The 23428-nt window shown below is 43.0% G+C and overlaps 1 protein-coding gene across 10 annotated transcripts in view; it reads right to left on the bottom strand.

Moving 5' to 3' along the window:
- Nucleotides 1-23428, bottom strand: part of ATP8A2 (ATPase phospholipid transporting 8A2) — a 653878-nt gene that overhangs the window by 141433 nt on the left and 489017 nt on the right. For 9 of the 10 annotated variants that reach the window (NM_016529.6, NM_001411005.1, NM_001411006.1 and 6 more), the window contains one exon: nucleotides 22011-22118. In NM_016529.6, coding sequence (NP_057613.4) covers nucleotides 22011-22118 — 108 coding nt within the window. Of the gene's footprint in view, nucleotides 1-21716; nucleotides 21920-22010; nucleotides 22119-23428 lie in introns of those variants that run through there. The other variant, XM_011535107.4, reaches the window with a different exon arrangement.

Genomic DNA, 23428 nt, shown 5'->3' with positions numbered 1-23428 from the left:
CTTTATCCACAAACAAATTGGCCCTTGAATACTTGGGAGTGGGGCGTGTGGGTGGTGAGTGGCAGGGAATGAGGTCCCGACATGATTTCCTTCCTCCAACACTGTGCAGCCATCATCCCCAATCCCCAAGGACTGACATAAACTTGTTGAATCCTTCCCAAAGCTGCTGTGATGGAGAAGGGAACAGAGACCCATGTAACTCCAACTTGTCCTGGTTTGCTAAGGGCCACTGACCCTCCCAAAGGTGGAGGTTCAGGAGGCAGGAGTGAAAGGCCCCACTGTCCTTCCATTAACCATTCTCCCACCATGTCGGTACAAGGGAGTAACACTGAGGGTGGCCTAGACAGGTAAGTCTGAAGAACCCCATTTCTCATCTTTCTGGCCCCCTGAACTCCATTTCTCCTAAAGGGAAAAGGCCATGTGCACAAAAGGGATAAAATAACCAGAGACCCATACTCCTTGCTCTGCTTCCTGTCATTCTCAGCCAGATTTTAAATCACCTCTCCTAAGGTAAAAGCAGTGTCTCCACCAAGAAGGTCGCTCAAGGTCTCAGGAACTTGCAAGGTTTTCCTGCATGACCCTGACTTGCACACGCAGGCCACATCAACATCCACACATGCTTCAGGCAGTGCAGCAGACTGGGAGGTGGTGAGGTTTTCTCTGGTTTTACCTGCAGTGGCTGATAGGGGAGGTCTTTCTCTGGCTGTGACAAGAAGCTGGGAGAAGCCAGGGGACAAGCGTTCTCCACTCTTCCCCAGATGTCCACTACATGTTGGCAATGCCAGACTGTCTCTCTAGTCATCCCACAGGACCAGTGCAAGGCACAGGAGTGAAGACACGGGCCTGTCCGCATGAAGGAGGAAGGAATTGCTGTGAACCTAGGGCTTATTCCATGCCAGTCCCGTCTCTAAAACTCCTGACAGTCCAGTGGGTGAGAGACTTGCACACACCCCAGTTTGTAATCATAACACAAGTATTTTCTCCTTTTTTTCCTTTTTTTGAGATGGAGTTTCACTCTTGTTGCCCAGGCTGGAGTGCAAGGTGCAATTTCAGTTCAGTGCAACCTCCGCCTCCTGGGTTCAAGCAATTCTCCTGCCTCAGCCTCCTGAGTACTGGAATTACAGGCACCCACCACCACGCCCAGCTAATTTGTATTTTTTCATAAGAGTATGCAGCGAGCTCTGAGAGTGCAGAGAAAGCATGCCACACACTGGAGAGGGAGAGCTAGAGAGTGAGACAGCAGGGGAGCTGAGGGTGAATGGCTGCTGTTAGAAGCCCTGGAGACAGCCTGAGGTCAGAGCCCAGCCCCACTCCTGGCTGTGTGATCTTGAGCAGGGCTGTTAACTTCACTAGGACTTGGTTTCGGTTTCTCATAGAGAATAGGTACAGTGTGAATTAAATATATATAGCTTGAATAAAGTGCCCAGCTTGTGGGTAGCTGCTGCCATCATCATCACCATCACCATCATCACCATCACCATCATCATCATCATCATCATCATCATCATCATCATCATCATCATCTCAGGCACAGGGGCTTTAAGGACAACATGCCCAGTTTAAGAAGAACACAACTCTCTTCATTTATAGCGCCCCTCCATCAGTGAGTAGACGCTTGGGATTTGTGGCTAATTTTTAAGCTGCAAAACAGACATCTCTTTAGAATTCATAATATTCAATGAGCTTCTAAAAATGACAGTACAAACAAGAGCCATCTTCCAATGGTTAAGTGAGCAAGTGTCTTTGCCCAGCATGCCGCATGGGGTTTAACAAACATTAACTGGCTAACTGGTGATCACTGCCTAGCCCTCAAAACAATGAATGAACACACTGTGAGCCAAAAATTAAACAATAAACATATCACAGGTTTATGGTACAATGGAGTTGTTCTTAACCTACATAATTCAATTTTCTCTTTCCTGTTTCTCACGAACTTAGTCTTTTTTGTATGAGAAAAAGTGGATGCGAACAGGTTATTTACTTGGAAACACTGACAGGCTGCGTCTGACCATGGCGCTGTCCTACTCATTGTAACCCCCTGGAAATCCGATCTGTATTGACTTAAAAAATAGAAGAGGGAGCAGTCAAGTAAGCTTAATCTTTTCAAATAATGAAGATTTTATCTATGCTAACACAGCCTCTCCAGTTCCACTTGGTTTGGCACTTAACTCTGCATTAAGACTTTCCTAATACGATAATGATAATACCATCTTTTCCGTCATTATCTCGTGGTTGCAGAAACATCCACCCAATGCCGAGTCAGGTTTTTACGTCCAATGGCCCCTGCATTCCTGCCTGAGCCCTGCGGGAAACAGAGCCGCTGCAGCTGCCAGCGTTTATTTACACACATTCCTGCCTCAAATTGAATTAATGAGCATAATTGAACTCAGGCGAGTCCTTCCAGGCTCTTTTTTCTCTTTGCCCCAGTGGTCAGCCTGCTTTCCCCTCACACCCTCCCATGGCGTCCTTACTGAAATGGACTCAGGCACTCTGGTGGCATGGCGTATCACCCAGGACCTCTCTGCCTTTTAGGTTCTTTGAATTACCTGGGGCTTAGTTAAAATGTAGACTCTAGTCCAGTAGTTCTGGGCTGGGGCCTGAGACTCAGCATTTCTACAAGCCCTCTGATGAGGCTGATGTTGCTGCCTTGGGGACCACACTTTGAGTAGCAGGGGTTACTGAGGGAAACACCTGCAGTGAATAGAGCAAGCAATGTCCCTAAAGAGTACCCACAGGCAAATGGTGACTTCTGGCTTTCTTATCAAGCTGTAAGGTATATCAAGAGCATCTATTCTCTCTCTCTCTTTCTCTCTCTCTCTCTCTTTCTCTCTCTCTCTCTCCATGGAGGACACGTTTACCTAGTCTATCCTTTTTGTATACATAACGAACATTAAAAAATAAAGCCACAAGTCCTATTAACTCTCAAGCACAGTCCTACACAAATTCCAAAGCCAAGGAGCTAAAGAAAGTGTGGAATGGGAATGCTGGGACCCTTAACTTTTACAGAAAAAGCAAAAGCAACCCCACATGAGAAACTTCAGCATGGATGTGGTTAGATGCAGGAGGTCTGTTTATTGCATTGGGCAGACCAATGAGGAATTTCCTGCATGTTATGCCAAAGTCAGAGTGCAAGCAGCTTTCTCTGAAGTCTGTGCAAGAAACCAGCAGATCTCCTGTGTATTAACACATTGTATAGCTTTGCTAGTTACCCCTGGCAAAAATCCTTCCACATTCTACCAAGTGTGGAAAAGGATTAAAAGGAGGGCAGGGAGAAAAAAAAATGCCCCCCAAACAAAAGAAAGTAAATTAATATATTTGAAAACCAGTGTCAAGGTGTTGAATTTTGTTCTTCCTGGATACGAATACATGTAATACCTCCAGCAATAAATATCCTTAACCTTGGACCTGAAACTGTTTGCCCAGGTCTACACAAACTCAATCTTTGGCTGCTTCAACAGAGAAAGGCTTTCATGCTGAATTTTGCACAGAAAAGTAGATTTGGGGAATTTTTCTGAGGAAAGATTGAATTTATCATGAAACATATTTCATCAAGAAACTGGTAAAATGAGCCACCTTTTTACCCAAACCACAAAGACTGCAAATTCCTTTGCTAGAAAAGTTGGCTGCTTCTGTTGAAAAGATTAACTTATGCTGAATAGCTTTGGGGGCATGAAGGGATAGGTGAGGTTGCCTTTTTCATTTAGGGGAACGTAACTTGTAACAATAAATAGTAGCTCCTGGGAATGGAAAAATGGTAGCTTATCAATACCATTTCCTTATTGTAAAGGTTCTTCCAGCAGATTTATATGAACTGACCTGTGTTCTAGAAAGAAGTTCACAATGCCTAAATTCTGCTGCAAAAACAAAAGTCATCTGGAACCTTTCAATACCCCTGAGGCCTGTCAGGATTATGGCTGGAGAGCAACTTTCCTTGCTTGTAATAACTGATTTACTTAAGTGTGAAACTACCAGTGCCTTCATTAATAAAATGACATAATACTAATCACATTTTTCCCCTCTTCCTTTTTTTTTTTTTTTTTTGTTGTTCCTGACTGGACAGTATCCTGTGAAAACAAAGAAATTACACTTTTTAATCTGATGGGACATGTGGCTACTTCACAAAAAGCAAAGTTTGCCAAGAGATAGCCATCTATGGATTAGCCGCTGGATTTTCTTGGAAGCGTGAGGGAAAGGAAAATTGTTATTCAAATTGCTTTAGACACTGACGAATTATGTATGATTACATGTAGTCAATTTCTGATCTTAGGATTATCTGATAACTGATTATTCCTTGCTGTCACTGTGCCCAAAACAGTACCCCATGGACAGGCCACTCCATGGACAGGCCTACGCCGCTGTGGCTTTGTCTAGGAGGCCACCTCTTCTTCACCACCTACCTTTTTAAAGTGTATCAAGCTCAGGTCTGCCTTATTTTTCTCACGGGAAAAACTCTTGCTTTGTCTGTGTGCATTACTGAATTTTCAAAAAAGTTTAATTTCTTAAACTTAATCAATTATCGATTGAGTTAGGCAAATATGTCTTCTCACTGGGAGAAGATATTCAAGAAAAAGTCTAGGATTTTCCTCCTAACTCTTTCCCCTATGGAAGCCAAATGAAAAAGACATTTTCCTCCTATTATTTGCAGGAGAATGTGGGTATCGCCAGGACTGTCCTAAAACACATTTGGGGCTGTTTGCATAAATCTGCTTGAAGAACCACTGCAGAAAGGAAACAGCTGGTGCACAGTGGGAGACCTGGGCTTGTCCATCAGATGCGCCTGCCAGCACTGGCCACCTCAAAGATTACTTGGAGGGTGGAGTCCAGAATCCATCGCCAGCAGAGGTGCACATCCAGTGGTGGCAGTGCTAGGGTTGGGTCTTGATCAGGTGGTCCGAAGTAGCCTCCTTGGCTTCTACCAGCTTTCTCAGCCTGGTTCTTCGGCTTTTTCATATATTCTATGGATTGCATGATAACTGTCTATGCATTCTTTTTCTGTTTATTAAGTAACGTCCATTTTTTTCCTTCATTGTAACCAAAGATCCTGGCTGGCATATTTAATAAAGTTTAGCATGTTTAGGTTACAGCCCTGAACTTCTAAGGTCAAGGCCAGTGGCCAAGAGAGCCTCCTGCTGTCCCTCTCAGTAGCCACCTTCAATTAGTGACACCACTGGAGATATTGTCCCAGGTGCTCGATAAAGCATTTCTCAAAAAGAGTCACTAGCAGAGAATGAGAGTTTAAGATACGCTTTTGTGGGAATAAACCACAACAAAAGAAGATACACAAAGTCCTGATTCTTTGAGTTGACTTAAATTCTTGTCCTCAGAGCCAAATGCCCTCTGCTCTCCTGCCCCGTCCACATGCCCCATAGACCAAGTATGTGTGCACATGGCTTGTGCCCTCTGGGAGCAAATCGCATGGTGATCTGCAAGGAGACCGGTGGTAGAATGCTATAAATGCTGGGACACACAAACGACACAGCTGCAGGAGTGAACACTCATGACCCTGCTCTGGATGTGAGGGATGAGGGAGAGAGAGTGGGAAGGCAGCTGATGGTTTTAAGCTCCTGTGCCTGGGGAAGTGGTGATGGACGTGAGTGGAGACAGAGTGAGTGGAAGGTGCTGGGGCGATGGGAAGGCAGGAACTGTGCTTCAGAGAGTTGAGAGCCTGAGGTACTGGTTGTCAGAGGCGTTTGAACCACAGCAACTCCATCTTGAATAGGGGCTGGGTAAAATGAAGCTGAGACCTACTGGGCTTGCATTCCCAGACAATTAAGGCATTCTAAGTCACAGGATGAGATACAAGGTTGGCACAAAATACAGGTCATAAAGACCTTGCTGATAAAACAGGTTGCAATAAAGAAGCCAGCCAAAACCCACCAAACCAAGATGGTGACAGGTACGACCTCTGTTCATTCTCACTGCTACACTCCCACCAGCTCTGCCTATGGAATAGTCATTCTTTTATTCCTCTACTTTCTTAAAAAACTTGCTTTCACTTTACTCTATGGACTCGCCCTGAATTCTTTCTTGTGCAAGATCCAAGAACCCTCTCTTGGGTCTGGATCGGGACCTCTTTCCTGTAACACTGGGAGGCCAATGTGTGTGGATGACATGGAATTACTCAAAATGATCTAGGTTCATTTGTTTCGACATACCTTATAAAGCAAGTCACAGGGTTGTCTGAAGGAGCCTAACTGGCGGTGACTGAGAAGGGGGCTCCTGTGGTTTCTCTTCTGGCCCTCCCCTCCTTCTTGTCTTCCATTCCTTAGACACTTCCCGAGTTGTCTTCTTCACGCTACAGAACATGCTGTCCTCAAAAAGTTTCTCATCTAAAGGGCGTAAGTGAACCCCCATTCTTCTCTAGAGCTGAGTGGAAGTGAGGGGTTAAACTGATAACATTTTGTTTACAATCCATTTAGCAAACTAGTTATTTTCTTGGGCAATCTTCTGAGTCTGACATACACATATCAGGTCTTTGAGGGTTCTCTGTATACACAGGTGACACTGTTAGGAAGTCGCTGGAAATGCAGCATGTTCCCTTTGTCAGCAATTGAAAGCACTAAGTATTGTCCTTAATGAACACAGCTACTTTCCTTGACATGTCTGAAGGGCTTGGGGGCTTATACAATGGCTTTAGAATTAACTGCAATGGTGATTTTGGCAGTAAACAGCTTAAGAGGAGTCTCTAGGCAAAAATTGGGAAAGATAAACTAAACAGACACTTATGCCACATGGCTAGTATGAAAGTTTAGAAAGGCACTTGCTCTAAGGAACATGGGAGGAGACACCCTTAAGTAACTACTACTGAACTGGAAACAGAATTGTGGGGTCGGGGGGAGGACCAGGTCGGTGCCAAGGACATCAAAAGGAAAGACAACTAAGAACTAACTTAAAGAAGGCAAGAGACATACAACACGAATGAATATAAACAACTCAATGAAACAAAGTAAAACAACATGGAGAAGTCACAAAAAATACAGCTTCAAACATCGCTTTATGAGTCAGATGTTCCATGATTGGAGCTTTAAGTGTTGGAAGCTCATTTCACCCTATCGAATTTTTAAAAACAAAGAGGTGAGCTCTGTAGACCATCTGGACCCAAACTGTAACTTTCTGGACAACTCCTAACTCTAGCATAGTGATACTGAAGAATAAAGAGAATTACTTTCCTTTTTTAAAAAAAGTTTTTGGGGGAGAAAGTGGCCTAAAATGGCATCTGGTAGGTGGCAATCTGTCACTAAGATGACCTATGTCAGAAGAACTACATAAAAGCTTGAATCAAATTTACTTTCATATCATGTATGAGAATATTACTTCATTAGGTTTATTCCACTAAGTTTGAACCACTGAAAACATTGAGGGGAAAAAAGGATTAGTTTTTTTTTTTAAATAAAAATAAATCCCCAAGTAGACAAGTTTGTTAATTATTTAAAGTTGCTTCTTGATTTTATATTTCCTGTTCGAAACAATTTCAGCAATAATGAGCTATTTTCCAAAATCATGCTCATCTTAGATTTTAAAATCTCACTTAGAATCAATTAGTTTATATTATAGAAAACTATTACAATGCCCCAATGCAATATTTAATTCTATTTGAATAGTGGAAAAATTCTTTCTTTCTTTACATTCCAGACAAAGGCTTATTCCTTTTTCTTATTAAGGATTCATTTTAAACGATTTAGCATTCAGAAAAAGAGCACAAAATAAAATTCATATGTTGATATTCCCTCCATTTCCTTTTATTTCTAAGAATTACTTTTCCCACATTAATCATAAAAAGGCAAAATTCCGAGTTACTATGTTAAAGGATCTTTTTTCATGGTCAGTCTTACTCTGTTTTGATGCCATACGTAGTAAAGTTTCTCAACAGGCCTGTAATTTCCTGCGGTGAAATTTTTAAAGCTTCTCCTTCCAGGTTTCATGGCTCCACCTGGCCTTCCCCATCACAGTCAGGCTCCTCGTCCTCCCGTTATCAATCACTGTTTCCTCCCTTGCTCTCCTTTCCCCAGTTCTGCTTCTTTACTGCACTCACAGCCACTTTACTCTCTGCTTTTCCTTACTCTTTCCTTTAATTAAGATGCTGTGCTGGGGATAGACTTTCCAAATCCTAAACTTTTCTTCTCTTGTAATACAGCTTTACTTGCCACTGAAATCCTACGCCTCAACTGAGCTGGCAGGGCCAGATCCACCCTTCACTTTCAGCCTCTTCCAAGGCAGCGGGCCTTGGAGCACCCACCCCCTGATCTGCTGAGGAACAATGCCCCAGAGAAGTTCTATTTCTTCCGTGAAATCATCCCAGATTTATTGGAGGCTGGCTGCTATCTATGCGTCACATTTTTCTCAACCAAAACCTGTCTCCAACTACACGCTTATATTTATGACTTTGGAAATGGCAGTCCCTTGAACATCATAATGACAATGCTGCCCAACCATGTGTTGGTTTAGGGTACATAAACTTCTGCTAGTGCCATCTGTGGCCCACTGTCTTCCTCAGTTTTAATCTCTTATCATAAAACTATCGGAGAATGATTAGCGTAGTACTTCCTGGAATTAGGTGCTCAAAAATACCCATCTTAATTTCATTTATGCCTCTCCTTTAATATCATCTCCAAAACAAACATTTTCCATGAAGTAATTAAGTGTGACTATTAACTGTTTCCAAACGCCAATATCAATGAATATCATGCCACAGACATCACCTATGTGGCTAAAACAGTTGGGCTGAAATTTTAAATGGAAGTGTCTATCATTCTTTGGGTGAAAAAAATATATGGTTTGTGGTACTGACTTTTTGCACACACTTCTCTTAAGAAAAATGCTAAATTCATTAATCTATTAATCACTTCTTAGGTGCAGATCCTGTGTGTAATTTATACAATTATAATTGTATAAATGCTGAAATACTTGGCATCTGTTTGTGTTAATGCAGCAAACAGATACCAGGCACTAACTGCACAGAGCCAACTACAGACCCACCCAATTGTACACGAGAGGTTGTTCAATGTTATGAATTCCTTCATTTAAATATTTACTGAATACCAAAAAAAGATGGGTACTAGGTACTAAGGATATATTTGAGAATATTCACTTCACTCACAGAGCTTCCAGTTTACAGAGAGAAGCTGATATGAATCAGTAAATCACACAAACGTACATTTTTAAAATTGTGATAAAAACTTAAGATTTACTATCTTAGCCATTTTAAGGAAAGTTCAGTATGGTTAACCGAAGTCACACTGTTGTGCAACGGCTCTCTAAAACGTTTTCATGTGGCAAAACTGCAACTCTGTGTCTATTAAACAGCAGCTCTTCATTTCCCCTCCCCCAGCCCCGGCAACTGCCATGGCACTTCCTGTCTCTACGAGTACTCACTATATACAAGCAGAACCATAGAGTATTTGCCTTTTGTGACTGGCTTATTCACTTTGCATAATGTCCTCAATTCTTAATTAACCATGTTAGAATATTTCACTTTACATAATGTCCTCAACTTTAACCATGTTGTAGAATGGTGACAGGATTTCCTTCTTTTGTGAGGTTGAATAACATCCCATTGTGTGTATATATTGTATTTTGTTCATCCATGTATCTTCTAACGGGCATTTGAATTGTGTGTCTACCTCCTGTTTTGAATAACGCTGTTATAAATATGAGTGTGCAATTATCTTTTTGAGGCCCTGTTTTCAATCCTTTTGGGTATATACCCAGAAGTGGGGTAACCAAATTATATGGTAGTTCTATTTTTAATTTCTTGAGCCACCTCCGTGCTGTTTTCCATATTAGCTGCACCATTTTGCACTTCCATTGACAGGTCACAAGCGTTTCGATCTCTCCACATCCTCACCAACTACTTATTTTCTGTTTTCTGTTCTTGTGTTTCTAAGAGTGGCCATCCCAATGGGTGTGAGATGACACCTCATACATTAGTATGTAGAGTTTTAGTTGTGGTGAGTATTATACAACAAGCGAAAGGTAAACTGTGTTAAGAGAACATACAATAGGAGCACGTAGGTCCAGGATGTGAGGAAAGGCTTCCCTTGGGAAGTGATCAAGCATCTGAGATCTAAACATCGTGTAAGCATTAACTTGGTAGGAGGCGGAGACCAGTGCAGTCAGGAAGTGAGAGGAGCAGGCACAAACGCCCTGTAGGAGCTCGCTCCTCACACCAGGAAGTGGGAAGCCACCAGTGTGGATGAGGTGAGGGAGAGCATAAAGGGAGCAGTGGTAAGCCTCGCAGGGCCTCAGGGGCCAGGTAAATGTCCCCAGGCTTTATCCTGAGGGCAACAGGAAGCCAGGGAACAATGACATCAGACTTACATTTGGCAAGATCACTCTGGCTCCGGTAGAGGAATGGGTCCAGGCAGATCAGATGCTAAGAACTAGTCATGAGACTACTGCAATTGTCCACGCAAGAAATGATGCTGCGCAAACTAACTGGATGGGATGAAACTGGGTGGAAACAGATATATTTAAGAGATACTTATGGGGTAAAGGCTGGGTGCGGTGGCTCACGCCTGTAATCCCAGCACTTTGGGAGGCTGATGGGGGTGGATCATGAGGTCAGGAGATCAACAACATCCTGGCTAACACGGTGAAACTAAATATACAAAAAATTAGCCAGGTGTGGTGGTGGGCGCCTGTAGTCCCAGCTACTCGGGAGGCTGAGGCAGGAGAATGGTGTGAACCTGGGAGGCGGAGCTTGCAGTGAGCTGAGATTGCGCCACTGCACTCCAGCCTGGGTGACAGAGCGAGACTCCATCTCAAAAAAAAAAAAAAAAGAGATACTTAGGGGGTAAAAATAACAGAGCCTGGATTCATCATAATAAGAGGGGAGAGGACTGAAACTCAAAAAGGACACAAAGGTGAGAGGTTCCCACAATCTTAGACATTAAATAATAATCTTGCTTAGAAATTGTCACTTACATAATAAAGGAACCATTTAGAAGGAACAGACCTAACCTATTTTCAGTGGCACGGATTCTTTTTGCTCAGCTGGTTGCAGTGTGACACAAGTATGACCCAAGTCGTGACCTCTTCCTTCCAACATTCAGGAGAAAATGATTAGCCAACATTGTGGAAAAATGACTTGAGTCAGATCCACACTTTATAAATCTTGATTTATAAACTCCACTTAAAGCAATTAATAAGCCCATAGATTAAGAGCTCAGTTGTCCCCAAGTTTTATTTTTAGGGAAAGTCTTGCCTAAGAGCCAAAACCCTTTCAATGATGAGTGACTAAAATAGAAGTCAGGCAGTGCACACCCCAAGTGTGTGGGAGGAACCTGGAGGATCTGGGCTGAGGCTGAGTTTCCTACCTCTTGATCTTGCCTGCACTAAATTTAGCGTTGGGGAGTGAATCTGCATTTCCAGATCTGCGTTGGTCAAGAGCTGTGCTGTCCAACACAGCAGCCACTGGCCAGATGCTACTGAGTACTTGAAATACGTCTAGCCTGGCTTAAGATGTGCGGTAGTTACAACACACACACTGGACTTCAGAGATTTAGTACAAAAAAAAAAAGGAACACAAACTATTTCACTAACTTCTTTTTATGTTGGCTACATCTCAAAGTGATAATATTTTGGAAATATTGAGCTAAATAAAATATATCAATAAAATGAATTTCTTTTTGGTCTTTTAATAGGGCCACTAGAAAATGTAAAATTATACATAAGTCTCCCATTATATTTCTATTGGACAGCACTGCTCAGGACTATTGGACTCTAAGCCAGTTAGAATTGTTGGCTGCCAAGAGAAAGAGGCCTCGCTTAGAAAAGCTCCTATTTCCTTCCCTCTCTATTTCAAACAATTCGCTTCTACCCAACGCTGTCTTCTTTTCCTTGGGTAAAGAAGCTGGGGGAAGGACATACTGAAGTCTATAAAAAGTAGACAAAGTCCCTTCCTACTCCAACTTGGTAGATGCATGGTAGGAAAATGGAACCAACTGTGTTTCTGCTATAGAACGACAATATCTAACAGGTCAGAGATGGCTCTAGCTTCAGGCAGAGCTGGATCCAGGGGTGTGCTCAATGCTGATGGCTCTCAGTGCACCCTTCCTCTGTGCTCAATTCATCCTCAGCCAGCCACCTTCTGCAGGGTGTCCTAGCCGCTCCAGGCTGACACCGTCCTCCTATAAGAGACCCAGCAGCAAAAGAGCTCCATCCCCCAATTAGTTTCTGTAAAAAATCCTTGAACTGTCTCTAGGTGATACTCCAGCCTGGGGCACCATGTGCATTCCTGAATCAACTGCCATGGTCAGTGAGGCAGAGGACCCGGCTGACCAGTTTGGGTCACAGATCCAGACCCTAGAGGTGGCAAAGAGGCAGAAGCAGCACCATTTGAATGCGCATTCCGAAAGAGGGCGGGGGGGTGAGGGGAATGGACGCAGGGCAGGCGGAAGATGGCAAGATGTCACTGTACCCTGCATGAGAGATGTCTTTGCTCCTGCTGAGCAAAGTGGATAGGGTTTGTCTTCAGAGCACAGTAGAAAGCACTCTGCACATTTAAATATGCCTGTCTTTCAGTTTCCATCCTGCATTGAAATCAGGTTTCAGTCACTAAAAAAGTATTGCGAATCGAAGTATACATACAAGCACAGACACAAGCGACCTAGATTTCTCTTTCTTGTCTTTAGCCAAAGGAATGCCAACACTTATGACAGCTGGCTAATCAAAGTTCAGAAAGCATCCAATTTACTCAGTGGATGCTTCGATATGTTACAATGATGATGTAAGCAATAGTCACTGAAAATATCCCCTACTTTTAAGTCTGTTCAGTATTTTGGGCCTCTCAGATACTGTCCACAATAGCTTTTGCATCATCATTTATATGAAACAGAAACTTCTTGGTACATGCCTAATAGCATGCTATGCTTCTCTTTTCTCTCTTCTCTAACCTACCGTGGTCATGTTTTCTTGCATAACCGGACTTGGTGGCCTTTCTCTGGCACTTTTATACCTTTTAAATTGGATAAACCTGAAGATCCCTGCCATCTCTGGGTGGGGGAACTGTGATGATGATAACCTCCAGTCATCAGACAAGGCCACCTCCCTCTGAAGATGTTGGAGAAGAAAACCCCTGTGCAGACTCTTAATAAGAGTGGCCCACATACACATTTCCACATGTTTCAAGAAAGGAAAAGTTCAAAACCACATCAGACGTACACTGTGACCACTGAGCATAAATATTACAAACAAACAAAATCAGCATGTAATGTGTACTTTAATTTGCTGACAGATATTTTAAAAATTAACATCAGAATGAATGACAAATGCCAACACCACAACAAAACCTCTGAAGAAAAAAAAAAACCACTCAATCAAAGCCGCGGGGCCTCTAATTAACACACAGCATCCTTGAAATGAGAGGCCAAAAAGAAAATAAACTGCCAAAATGGAGGAAATTGTATACGGGGGAAGGGAGGACAAGGACTAAAAAAATGAGGGCTTTCTATAATGAACGTAAAAAATAAATCCTGTTGTTTGAAACCTGCTTTACTTTAAAAAAGATTGGGCTCGTGGACAGAAGATTGCAGCTCAAACACAAAGTCTGCTTATTCCTTCTAACTCAACATTCATATTTTAAAAATTCTATTGCATTGCGGGGTAAGTCACTTCAGATAAAATTTATTAAAAGCAAAACGTTAAGGAGAATTGAGCAACATTTCTCAAACACCTGGTTCATCATCACTGTAGCTGCTTTCCATAGTCACAAAGTGAGAAGACCCAGCTTGGAGTCCAACCGACTCCAGAAGAATCCCAGCCACTCTACTCCCTGCCTGGTCAAGAGACTGATCCTTTCTCTCTAAGCCTCAGTTTCCTCATGTGGTTGCAGATTACTGAATGAGCCAATGCTTACTTCATTACACATGTAACTGCATATATTAAACATATTTTCATGAATATGTTTTGTCTGATATGTAGTAATTGTGATATGGAAGGGAAGTGCTGGGAAGGGAAGGGAGTGGTCCCTTTAAATGATACAGAATGGGGGAAGGGCATGGTCCCTGGCTAGGGCTCCACCCCCAGGCCTGTGTCCAGGGACCTAGGTGAGGACAGGCATTTTTATTTTCCTGCCCAAATGTTGCATTTCCCAAAACCACCCTGACCTGCCACGCCCCTATCCTGTGCCTATACAAAAATCGAGACCCTAGCCAGCAGACACAGAGGTGGCTGGACGTTGAGAGAAACACATCAGCAGAGGAACACTGGAAAGCCAGATGTCTAGAGGAATGCACGGACAGGCACCCGCGCGCCGTCAGGCCACCTATCGCCAGAATGACACAGAGTTTGGCCAGAACAATTGGAGGACAGCCGGGCTGTCAAGTGGCTCAACTCCAGGGAAAAGTCATCTCCCTTCTGGCTCCCCCATCTGCTGAGAGATACTTCCACTCAATAACACCTTGCACTCATTCTCCAAGCCCACGTGTGATCTGATTCTTCCGGTAAACCAAGGCAAGAACCTGGGATACACAAAGCCCTCTGTCCTTGTGACAAAGTAGAGGGTCTAACTGAGCTGGTTTACACAAGCTGCCTACGGACAGCTAAACTGAAAGAGTACCCTGTAACACATGCCCACTGGGGTTCAGGAGCTGTAAACATTCACCCCTAGACACTACCGTGGGGTCAGAACCCCACAGCCTGCCCATCTGTATGCTCCCCTAGAGGTCTGAGCAGCGGGGCGCTGAAGAAGCGAGCCACTCCCCTCTCACACGCCCTGCCAGGGGGACAAGAGAACTTTTCTCATCTCAATTGTTCAATAAACATTACCTACTGTTACTGACATGTCTTATTTTCCTTAATTTCCCTATTAAATCCTAAGATAGATATTATCTCCTTCATATACCTGAAAAACAAGCTCAGAAATAACGCAAGTATGGATATTACAGACAATAGAATTAGCTTCATAAATGTCTTAGGCATTAGCTTAATTTAGTTCAAATCCTACTTTCACAGTTACAATTTGCACTAAATAAGAAAGAAATCGGATTCGGGTCACTTTAATCCAGGAGGATTCCAGAGAATCCAGAGGCAATTAGGATAACGGGAGTTCTGTTCCCATCACCGCCTGTAGAAAGAATCTGAAACCACTTTAAGGAGCTTCCAACTTAAAAAACTTTCTCCTTTGTTTTTAAGCAGGAGGAGAAAAACAAAAACAAGTTGGCATTATGTGTAACCATGACAAAAGCCAATTCTGACAGAACTGTTGTCTGATGGATGCCTGAGTTTTCTGATTTTAGAATCCAAATATTTACAGGCTGTGAGAACTCACTTAGCTAGCACTGCTCAACTGAATGTTTCTGATTTTTCTTTATTACCAATTAAAAGGTTTTTTTTTTTTTTTTTTTTTTTTTGAGACGGAGTCTCGCTGTGTCGCCCAGGCTGGAGTGCAGTGGCGCGATCTCGGCTCACTGCAAGCTCCGCCTCCTGGGTTCATGCCATTCACCTGCCTCAGCCTTCCGAGTAGCTGGGACTACAGGCGCCCGCCACCATGCCTGGATAATTTTTTCTATTTTTAGTAGAGACGGGGTTTCACTGTGTTAGCCAGAGTGGTCTCTATCTCCTGAACTTGTGATCCGCCCACCCAGGCCTCCCAAAGTGCTTTTGTTGTTGTTGCTATAGTTTTGTTTTTGGTTCTAGGGATTGCCTCAGAAAGGGACTGGTGTTGGGAGCCTTCTAGGAAGGAAATGCACACGGATGGGGGACCCTGGGGTGCAGGCGACAACAGTCATAGGTGCAGCAGAAGCCAGGAAGTCGGTACTGTCTTAACTTCGCTCATTGTGCTTTGCATTCAGATGAGAATGTCATCCAGAAACACAGTGTGTTACTTCTTGCAAATGAGTCTCACTATTCCACAAAATGTATGAGTTGAAAAGCCAGAATGTGAATTGGACTTCAATGAATAATTGGGCCAATTTCAATACTCAAGAAAACTGTACAAAAAGATGTCACGATGTTATTCCAAACCGAAAGGTGAATCTCTGCTGATAGGACTTCCTCCTTGACGAGGCTGACCGCTCCTCACCAGCCATGCCACGGGTTTCTAAAATACGATACTTGAGGAAAACTGGACCGAGTCTATTCAATATTGCATTAAAGATTAATTCCAGTAACCTTAAGATATGCTCATTCAGTGTTTTCTGGAATGTTATCTAAAAAACTAATAATTGCAGTGCTAAAGTAATTTTTACCAGCTCCTTAAACCAATCTGTAACTTTGAGTATAATAAAACAGTTTAAATATGCTAAAGTCCTAAGCTTGTTTTTAACAAGCGTTTATTTCCTTGGCTGAGGAAGCTAAGGGAACATCCCAACACCCGCACTTGGGTGAAGAGAGGATTCCTTGGCCGGGGCTACCCACAAGGCCGGGCAGCACACAGGAAATTCTCACTGAGCGCCCCACCTGGGATGGGCTTCGAGGCTGGCTTCATACAGTGTCTCAACAATTGCATAGAGACTTTTGGAGTCCTTTACTTGTCAAATAAAAAGTAATAAAACAATAAAAAAAAGACACTTTTGTTTTTGTTTGTCTTTTTGTCTTCCTAGTCTATCTTTCAGGCTATAGTAGGATTCTGAGGGTGGTTTTCCTCCTGTGGCTGACCCATTCCCAGCATCACAGCAGCACCCACATGGTTCAGATGGGAAAGCCAGCTCTTTCATGGATTTGTTTTAGGAGCAAACTCGCTGCTATCCTGGAAGCCCCCAGCAAGTGTCTCCCTGTGTCTCCTTCAGGCTTCCTGACCCGCTCACTGTGGCAGGGGGGATGGGATGAAGCTTTCACCTGGACTTAGGGGTGGAAGTCACAGCACATCAGTGAATACACACTAGGCACCCTTAGGAAAGGGTGAAGGAGGATGGATGTGGGACAACCAAACATGCCCCACACAGACCTTAACCTGAAAACAAGTCCTCTCCTGACCCTCGGGTGGATTCCTACCGTTAAGCTCCCATCCTCCACAGACATCCTGGAATGGTAGCTGAGCAAAGATGGCCACCTACTTGACATCACCCCAACTTCTCAGCTTACCTCCTAGAGCACATACAACTGGTAAACAAACATCAGTCTTTGCAAATTTCACATGGAACATACCTAGGCCTGCTACAAATCCAGGGGAGACAATTGGAGAAGATGAGGAATTAATCACTGATTCACTGATGACAGAACCATTCCTCCCTCTGTTTACTTACAGTCCACTGGGATTTGCATTGTGTGTACACAAGTGTGTACATAAAACTCAAGAGTAAACCCATTCCTGTATTTAGAATGAAAAAAAAAAAAAAAAAGCCTGTCCCAGTCCAGAAACTGGCTGGAGTCAGGAGCTTGTCACTGCAGGCAGAGTTGCAGATTGTATGCTTTGAAGTCAAAAGGTTTTCTCCCCTCTCTTACTAGCAATGAAAAGAACTTTAAAGGAAAAGCAGCAAAAGTTAGTGAGGAGAATTTTTCCATGGTTAACGATTTCATGTCTCGTGGTGTAATTCCCTACTTTGAAAGCTAGCTGCCCTTACGGTGGTCACCGTCACCAGCTGGCATCCTACGTAACCACTTAACATGAGCAATCACTCAGCTGTATCTTCAGTGTACCATCTTCTCCTGTAACACCCAGCAGGAGCTAAAACATTCTAATAGAGTCATATTTTAGGTGTTTTAAAGCAGTGGTTCTCACACTTTAAAGGGAAGAATCACCTGGAGATTTACTGAAGCTCACATGCTGGGGCTCCACACCCAGAGTTTGCAATTCACTATGTGTGTCTGTGTATATGTGTGTCTGTGTGTGTGTCTCTCTGTGTGTGTGCATTGTGTGTCTCTGTGTGTGTACGTGATTGCCTGCACATATTTTTGGGGGGTGGGGGTTGTCATTTTGACAAGCAACCCAGATGATTTGGATGCAGGTGGTCAATAGACCTTACTCAAAAACATCCCATTTAGAACCTATAAAATGTTCAAATTCTTTGGCTAAAAGAATTTGGAGTTCAAATCACAGCAATATTCTTATTGATGAAGGTTCAAAAACAATTCATCACTCCAGGAAAAAGAAGAGCATCCATGTTTTAGATTTCCCACAGGTTAGCCTATTATATCTTCATCACAATTCTCTAAAGTAATTAGGTTGGGTGGCATTATTCTGACTTTGCTGATTAGGAGATTAATGCAAGTAAAATGATTTGCCAATGGTTACGTAACTATCATAGCTGGGGCATGAACAGAGCCAGGTCTCCGGACTTTTGAACAGAGGTCAAGTAAGATGGCATTCCCTCCAGCACTACTAAAGTCAGAAGTGCTGGGAAATGCATGAAGAAAACAGAAACACATTTCCTGACCTGGTCTAGGATCAAGTTTCCATCATCTTTCCAATGCAAAGTTCTACTTCAGCAGGCAACTTTGGGGAAGGTGGTGACCTAAGGGATTTTGTCATTTTCCATTTTCAAGTATTTGCTTTGGGGACCCATTTTATCTCATGGTTATTCTACTGGGGAAAAGAAAAACACCTGGTCCCCCACGGAAAAAAAACATCATCATGTATTTTCCATAGCCGAGGACTGGCATTCCCCAGGATAGACACAACCTAAGTTTTTATTACTATAAATCCAAGCTTCAAAAGAGAAAAACGGAAAAACAGGATGCCCCTTAAAATCCCACAAATGTGGCGTATTTTCAGGAGGGGAAGGATGCAGATGACTTCTTTGATTTCAGAAACTTCCACTGGGACTTCCTGACATGTTGTCTGGCTGGGTTTCACATACCATGTCATGAGGTGATTTAGGGAAGATAAAGACTCTTTGATAGTGTAGAATAATTCAATTCTATAGCCCTTCCTTTCCTTTGCCCTCAAGGGAAAACCCATATTCTTCTCCGTGAGAAAAACTCCAAATATAATGGACAAGACAAAGAAATATTTAATCAAATTAGTTTAGGAAACCCCCAGCAGAAACAATGCATCTTTTCAATGGCTGAAGATGTTATGAATAGACAGAATGTTTTGTGTGTCAAATCTCTTTCTGGCTTCTGAGTGAGAAATGCTGTTTGCTATTAGGCACTAGTTTAATTCTAGAACTTCACATAACCAGGTTCACTTGCCAAAAACCTACTGTTTAGTGAACTACAAAAAGTGGTTTATAAAAATCACTAGAAGCATTCTTCAAACAGTCATTTTAAAAAGTGGCCTTTTCCTAGAATACCCTTTACTCCTAAGCAGTTACCAACCTAGACCCCCAGGAATGAACAGGGCGTGGGCATGTTTTTAGTAATTCCCCAAAAGAGCCAATTCCTTTTACTGACTACACCTGAACCCAGTTCCTCTTTTTTATGACAGCATATAAGTCCTCCTGAGCCAGGAGGAAGGCTTTCTGAGACTTCAGGCTAGTGTAAGCCACTATCCACCCAAGCAATCCTTCAAAGGTGTTTAAAAAAATGTTTTGTAATACTTCCCTGCCATTTTTCAAAGAATGAACAAAGCACTGAGTCAAAATACAGAGTGGCAGACTGCAGGTGAAACAGTGTAAAAGTTGGCTGTGACACTAAAGTTACACATTTCCTGGCCCCCTTTACCCACTCAGGAGCCCCCTGCCCTGGAGGAAGGCTAGAGATGATACACAGTTCTTTAGACTCAGACAGCAGAGTACCTACTCGGAAGTCCGGCCACTAGAGAACCACATTAATCCTCTCATGTACTGCTTAATGAAAACCTCGGTTTCACCCAGCTATCATCTATTTCACATCATTATCATCTGCTTCATGGGAACCAACCAATAAAGTGATTAAAATGACATGTTTTAAAGAAAAATAAGCTTTTACAGAAAAATGCAATGTGGTTGAATATGATCACTTCTTTGCTTTCGGATGGTAGAAACAACTCACTAAAGTTCTGCTGGAAGAGTCCTTAAACATGTGAATGTCACCATTAATCTGAGCCTTATAACCATACAGACCATCATGCTTATGTGACTGGTACAGTGAAAATGTCGGCACCTTAGTAGCTGCATGATCAGCCTGGTCCTTCTGCAGTTGGAAAGTCGGTATCTCGATGGGAGTGAGAGTTGGCAAGCAGCCTAATTCACGCACATTTGGAGTTACTGAAGTACATGTGGTTCCCTGGCACAGCTCTCTGTTTAGGACTCAGGAGGAGCTTTCAAAGGAATGGGCTTTGTCTGTCAGTCACATGCCAAGCGACCCCGTCCTGTCAGCTGTCACTCTCTAATTTAGAACACTGTCTATGGCCATTGGCTGAGGCCCCATCTATTGTCCATCACCACAAAATTCCCCAAATGAAATATTCATCACAGCAGATCCATCCTGAACCAGAAGGAAGAGAACACAAAGCAGATATTCTAAGCACCAATGCCTTACCAATGGATCGTTGTCTTGTAGTGGATACTTTTCTTGGTTTGCTTTTTGTGGGGATCAATCACATTGCTTTAAAATAGAACTGATTTATTTAAACACAAAATATCTTTGTTGGAAAATGCTCATTTTGCTACACAACAATCTTCTGGGTTCACTGAACGCCCTCTAATTTCCTCTACTGTCTGGATTTGGAAAAAAACTGAAAAGCATGTTATATGTTTGTCCTCTTTCCTCACAGAAAGCAAAGATGCACTAGAGGACATGCAAGCCCACTCCTATAGGACAGGTCCGTCCTGCTCAGCACCCACACTCAGTGGAGGTCTCAGACGACCTGGGCTATTAGCTGACAGAGCTACCAGGTGAAATGGCAAGTAATGCTACCCTGGGCTATCTCACGAGAAACAGTTGCTAGACATGGTCCAGACTTGGATAGACCCAGGAGGTTTTGCTCATTTCTACAGAGTAAGTAAAGCAGAGATAGCAGCCAGGTGTGCCATGAACAGGCCTGGCCCTAAAGTATGTATCCTGGGGCAGGAACACCAATGAAAGCCTGACCCACAGTTCCCATCCCACCCTGGGTTCTGTGCCCCTGCACAAGCATCCTGCAAATGTGGGCGGGAACATCGGTGCAAACATCATCTACTCAGTGCACACCCTTGAAAACAGCTGCCCCTTTGGCCCAGTGTGCACACTGGCCTAGATATGGAGAGAGGACCAGGCAGGCCTGGGCAGGAGGCTTTTGGCTGTTTGGGAAGGAAACAAGGGGTCCTGGGAGCCCAGAGAATAGATTACAAGTGGGAAGATGGACTCTGTGCATCATAGCTTTTCACTCCGTGCCGAGGAACACACCCAGCCACAGAAGGCCAGAGCAGAGGTCCTTAAAGTACAGGGCCCAGCAGCCTCTTGGGGTTTAAGGGCAGTGCTGGATGTGGGCAACTCCAGGGTGGGGTCTCTGGGGTGGGCTTGGAGACCTGGGCCTGCACAGCTTCCTTGGTAAACTGAGGAGGTGTGTACCAGAGGACTGTCAGCTCATTCCTCTCCACACCCAATACTGTGGGATTCTAGGATACAGTTTGTCACTGTTGATGGCTCAATCTTATGCACTGGACAAAGATAATATGAAGGAAAAAATAAAAAACATTCAAATGAGTGTAAAGGTCTTCAATCTCAGCCTCTCTAGTTCAAAGAGATGAACAATGAGAGATTCTGGTTTATCAATGATCTGGTTCATAGAGCTGTTAGATTCATCTGTCACAGGTGACCCAGCAGAGTATAACAACAAACCAGAGTACAACATCAAAACTGTAATCAACATAATCAATGGATTAGGAACCATTCAAAATAGCTCCAGTTTTCCAACTGTACATATTGGTACTGTGTGTAATTAACACATAATTTATTATGGAAATGTGGGCATGCCAATAAGCCGGAGGATTTAAGTTGACAGTTTTCATAATACTTGAAACTTCAAATGCCTTTTCTGTGGACTGGATGACCTCTTCCAGGTGCTTTGGTTTGGTTTATCTCCTGATAGATTCTGATGGAAGCAGGAAGGACCAGCCTCTCCTGAAGCTCATCGTGGCTGTAAGACACACAGTGCCTGCTCACCCGCCCATGGAGAAACATTGCTGTCACAAGACACAGAAGACACACTCCCAATCAGGAGTACTTACCTGTCCTCTCATATCTGGAGCAATGGGAATGGTGGGCCAGATGGTCGAGTAGATGCCAAAAAACACCAGCCAGGTCAGCATGCTTCCCCAGACAGCCAGATGACTGAACTGCAGAGGGAAATAGACACTCAGACAGGCTTCTCGACCAGCCTGGCAGATTCACCCCAACTCCACTTGCTGCAGAATCCTTGCATCCAAGCTACCTTTCCTTATGGAAAGACTTTGATGACTCACCAGTTAATGGGAAGTTCAATCTTTCTAATTCCCATGTCTCAGAATTTTTAACAATGAATTCAAGTAATGAATGGCCCCAAAGTACCCTGAAGATGAAGGTGCTTTTGCTGTCACAGGTGACCTTACTCTAAGATTTCTCCCATAGTAACAGCGGGCCCCTCTCAGTTCATAGCAAGTGTTTGCTCCAACCTGCGGCTGTATACAACAAGGACTCATTAATCTGGTAACAGAGTGGCTGAACAGACAAAATAAATAAGATGTTTTTATTTATCATTTCAAGACTTTGTTCCATTCCTTTAGCCAAGAGTTTTTTATTTTTAAATCTGAAATGGATATTGCCTCTTAACAATGCCCCTTTAAGCATCTACTGCGTTGTTCATTTTTTCTTCTTTGTCCTCTTAATGTGATGATCCTTGACTTCTTTCTCTCTTCACACCCCACAATCTAATCCATGTGCAAGCTCTGTTAGCTTTTAGAAAGATAAAATGAATCCAGACTCCGACCACTTCTCACTACCTCCTCCTCTAACATCGTAAGCAAAGTCATCATCACCTCTGACCCGGATTAATTGCCACTGTCTCTTAGGGGATTCCCTGATTCCTCACTGACCTTCCACCCCATCCCCATTTTTCTTAGCAGAGCATTTAAACAGCAGCCAGGTCATGACACTATGAGAGACACACATGAAGCTTTAGTTATAATCTTTAAATGCTGGAAATAACCAAAATGTCTAAAATAAGAGAGTGATGAAGTAAATGGTGGGACATCTGTAAAACGTAATACTCTTTAATCAAGAACAATAACTTTGTTGACTTGTATTTTAAGTCACAGAAAATGTGCCTAATATATATTTAAATTAAAAGGGATTACAAAGTCCTATGTTTTATAATGCATCATCTTATTAAAAAATACACACACATGCAGACATAGAACGAAGTCCGGAAGGTTCCACAGGAAAGCATTAACAGTGACTGTCTCTTGGTGGTAAAATTATGGACATTAAATGTTTTTTGTCCTTCTATATTTTCCATATATGTGTGTGTATAATATGGTTTTTGTTTTTACAATGAGCAAATACATTTGAAGTGAGATGACTGTTAATAGCTTAGAGCTGTATTACGTGCCAAGCAAATGAATCACCAAGAGACTTTGGATTGCAAATTTACCCTGATCAAGATCAAACC

Source organism: Homo sapiens, chromosome 13, assembly GCF_000001405.40.
Source record: "Homo sapiens chromosome 13, GRCh38.p14 Primary Assembly".
NCBI classification, from domain to species: domain Eukaryota; kingdom Metazoa; phylum Chordata; class Mammalia; order Primates; family Hominidae; genus Homo; species Homo sapiens.
This window is presented reverse-complemented; position numbering and strand designations above follow the sequence as displayed.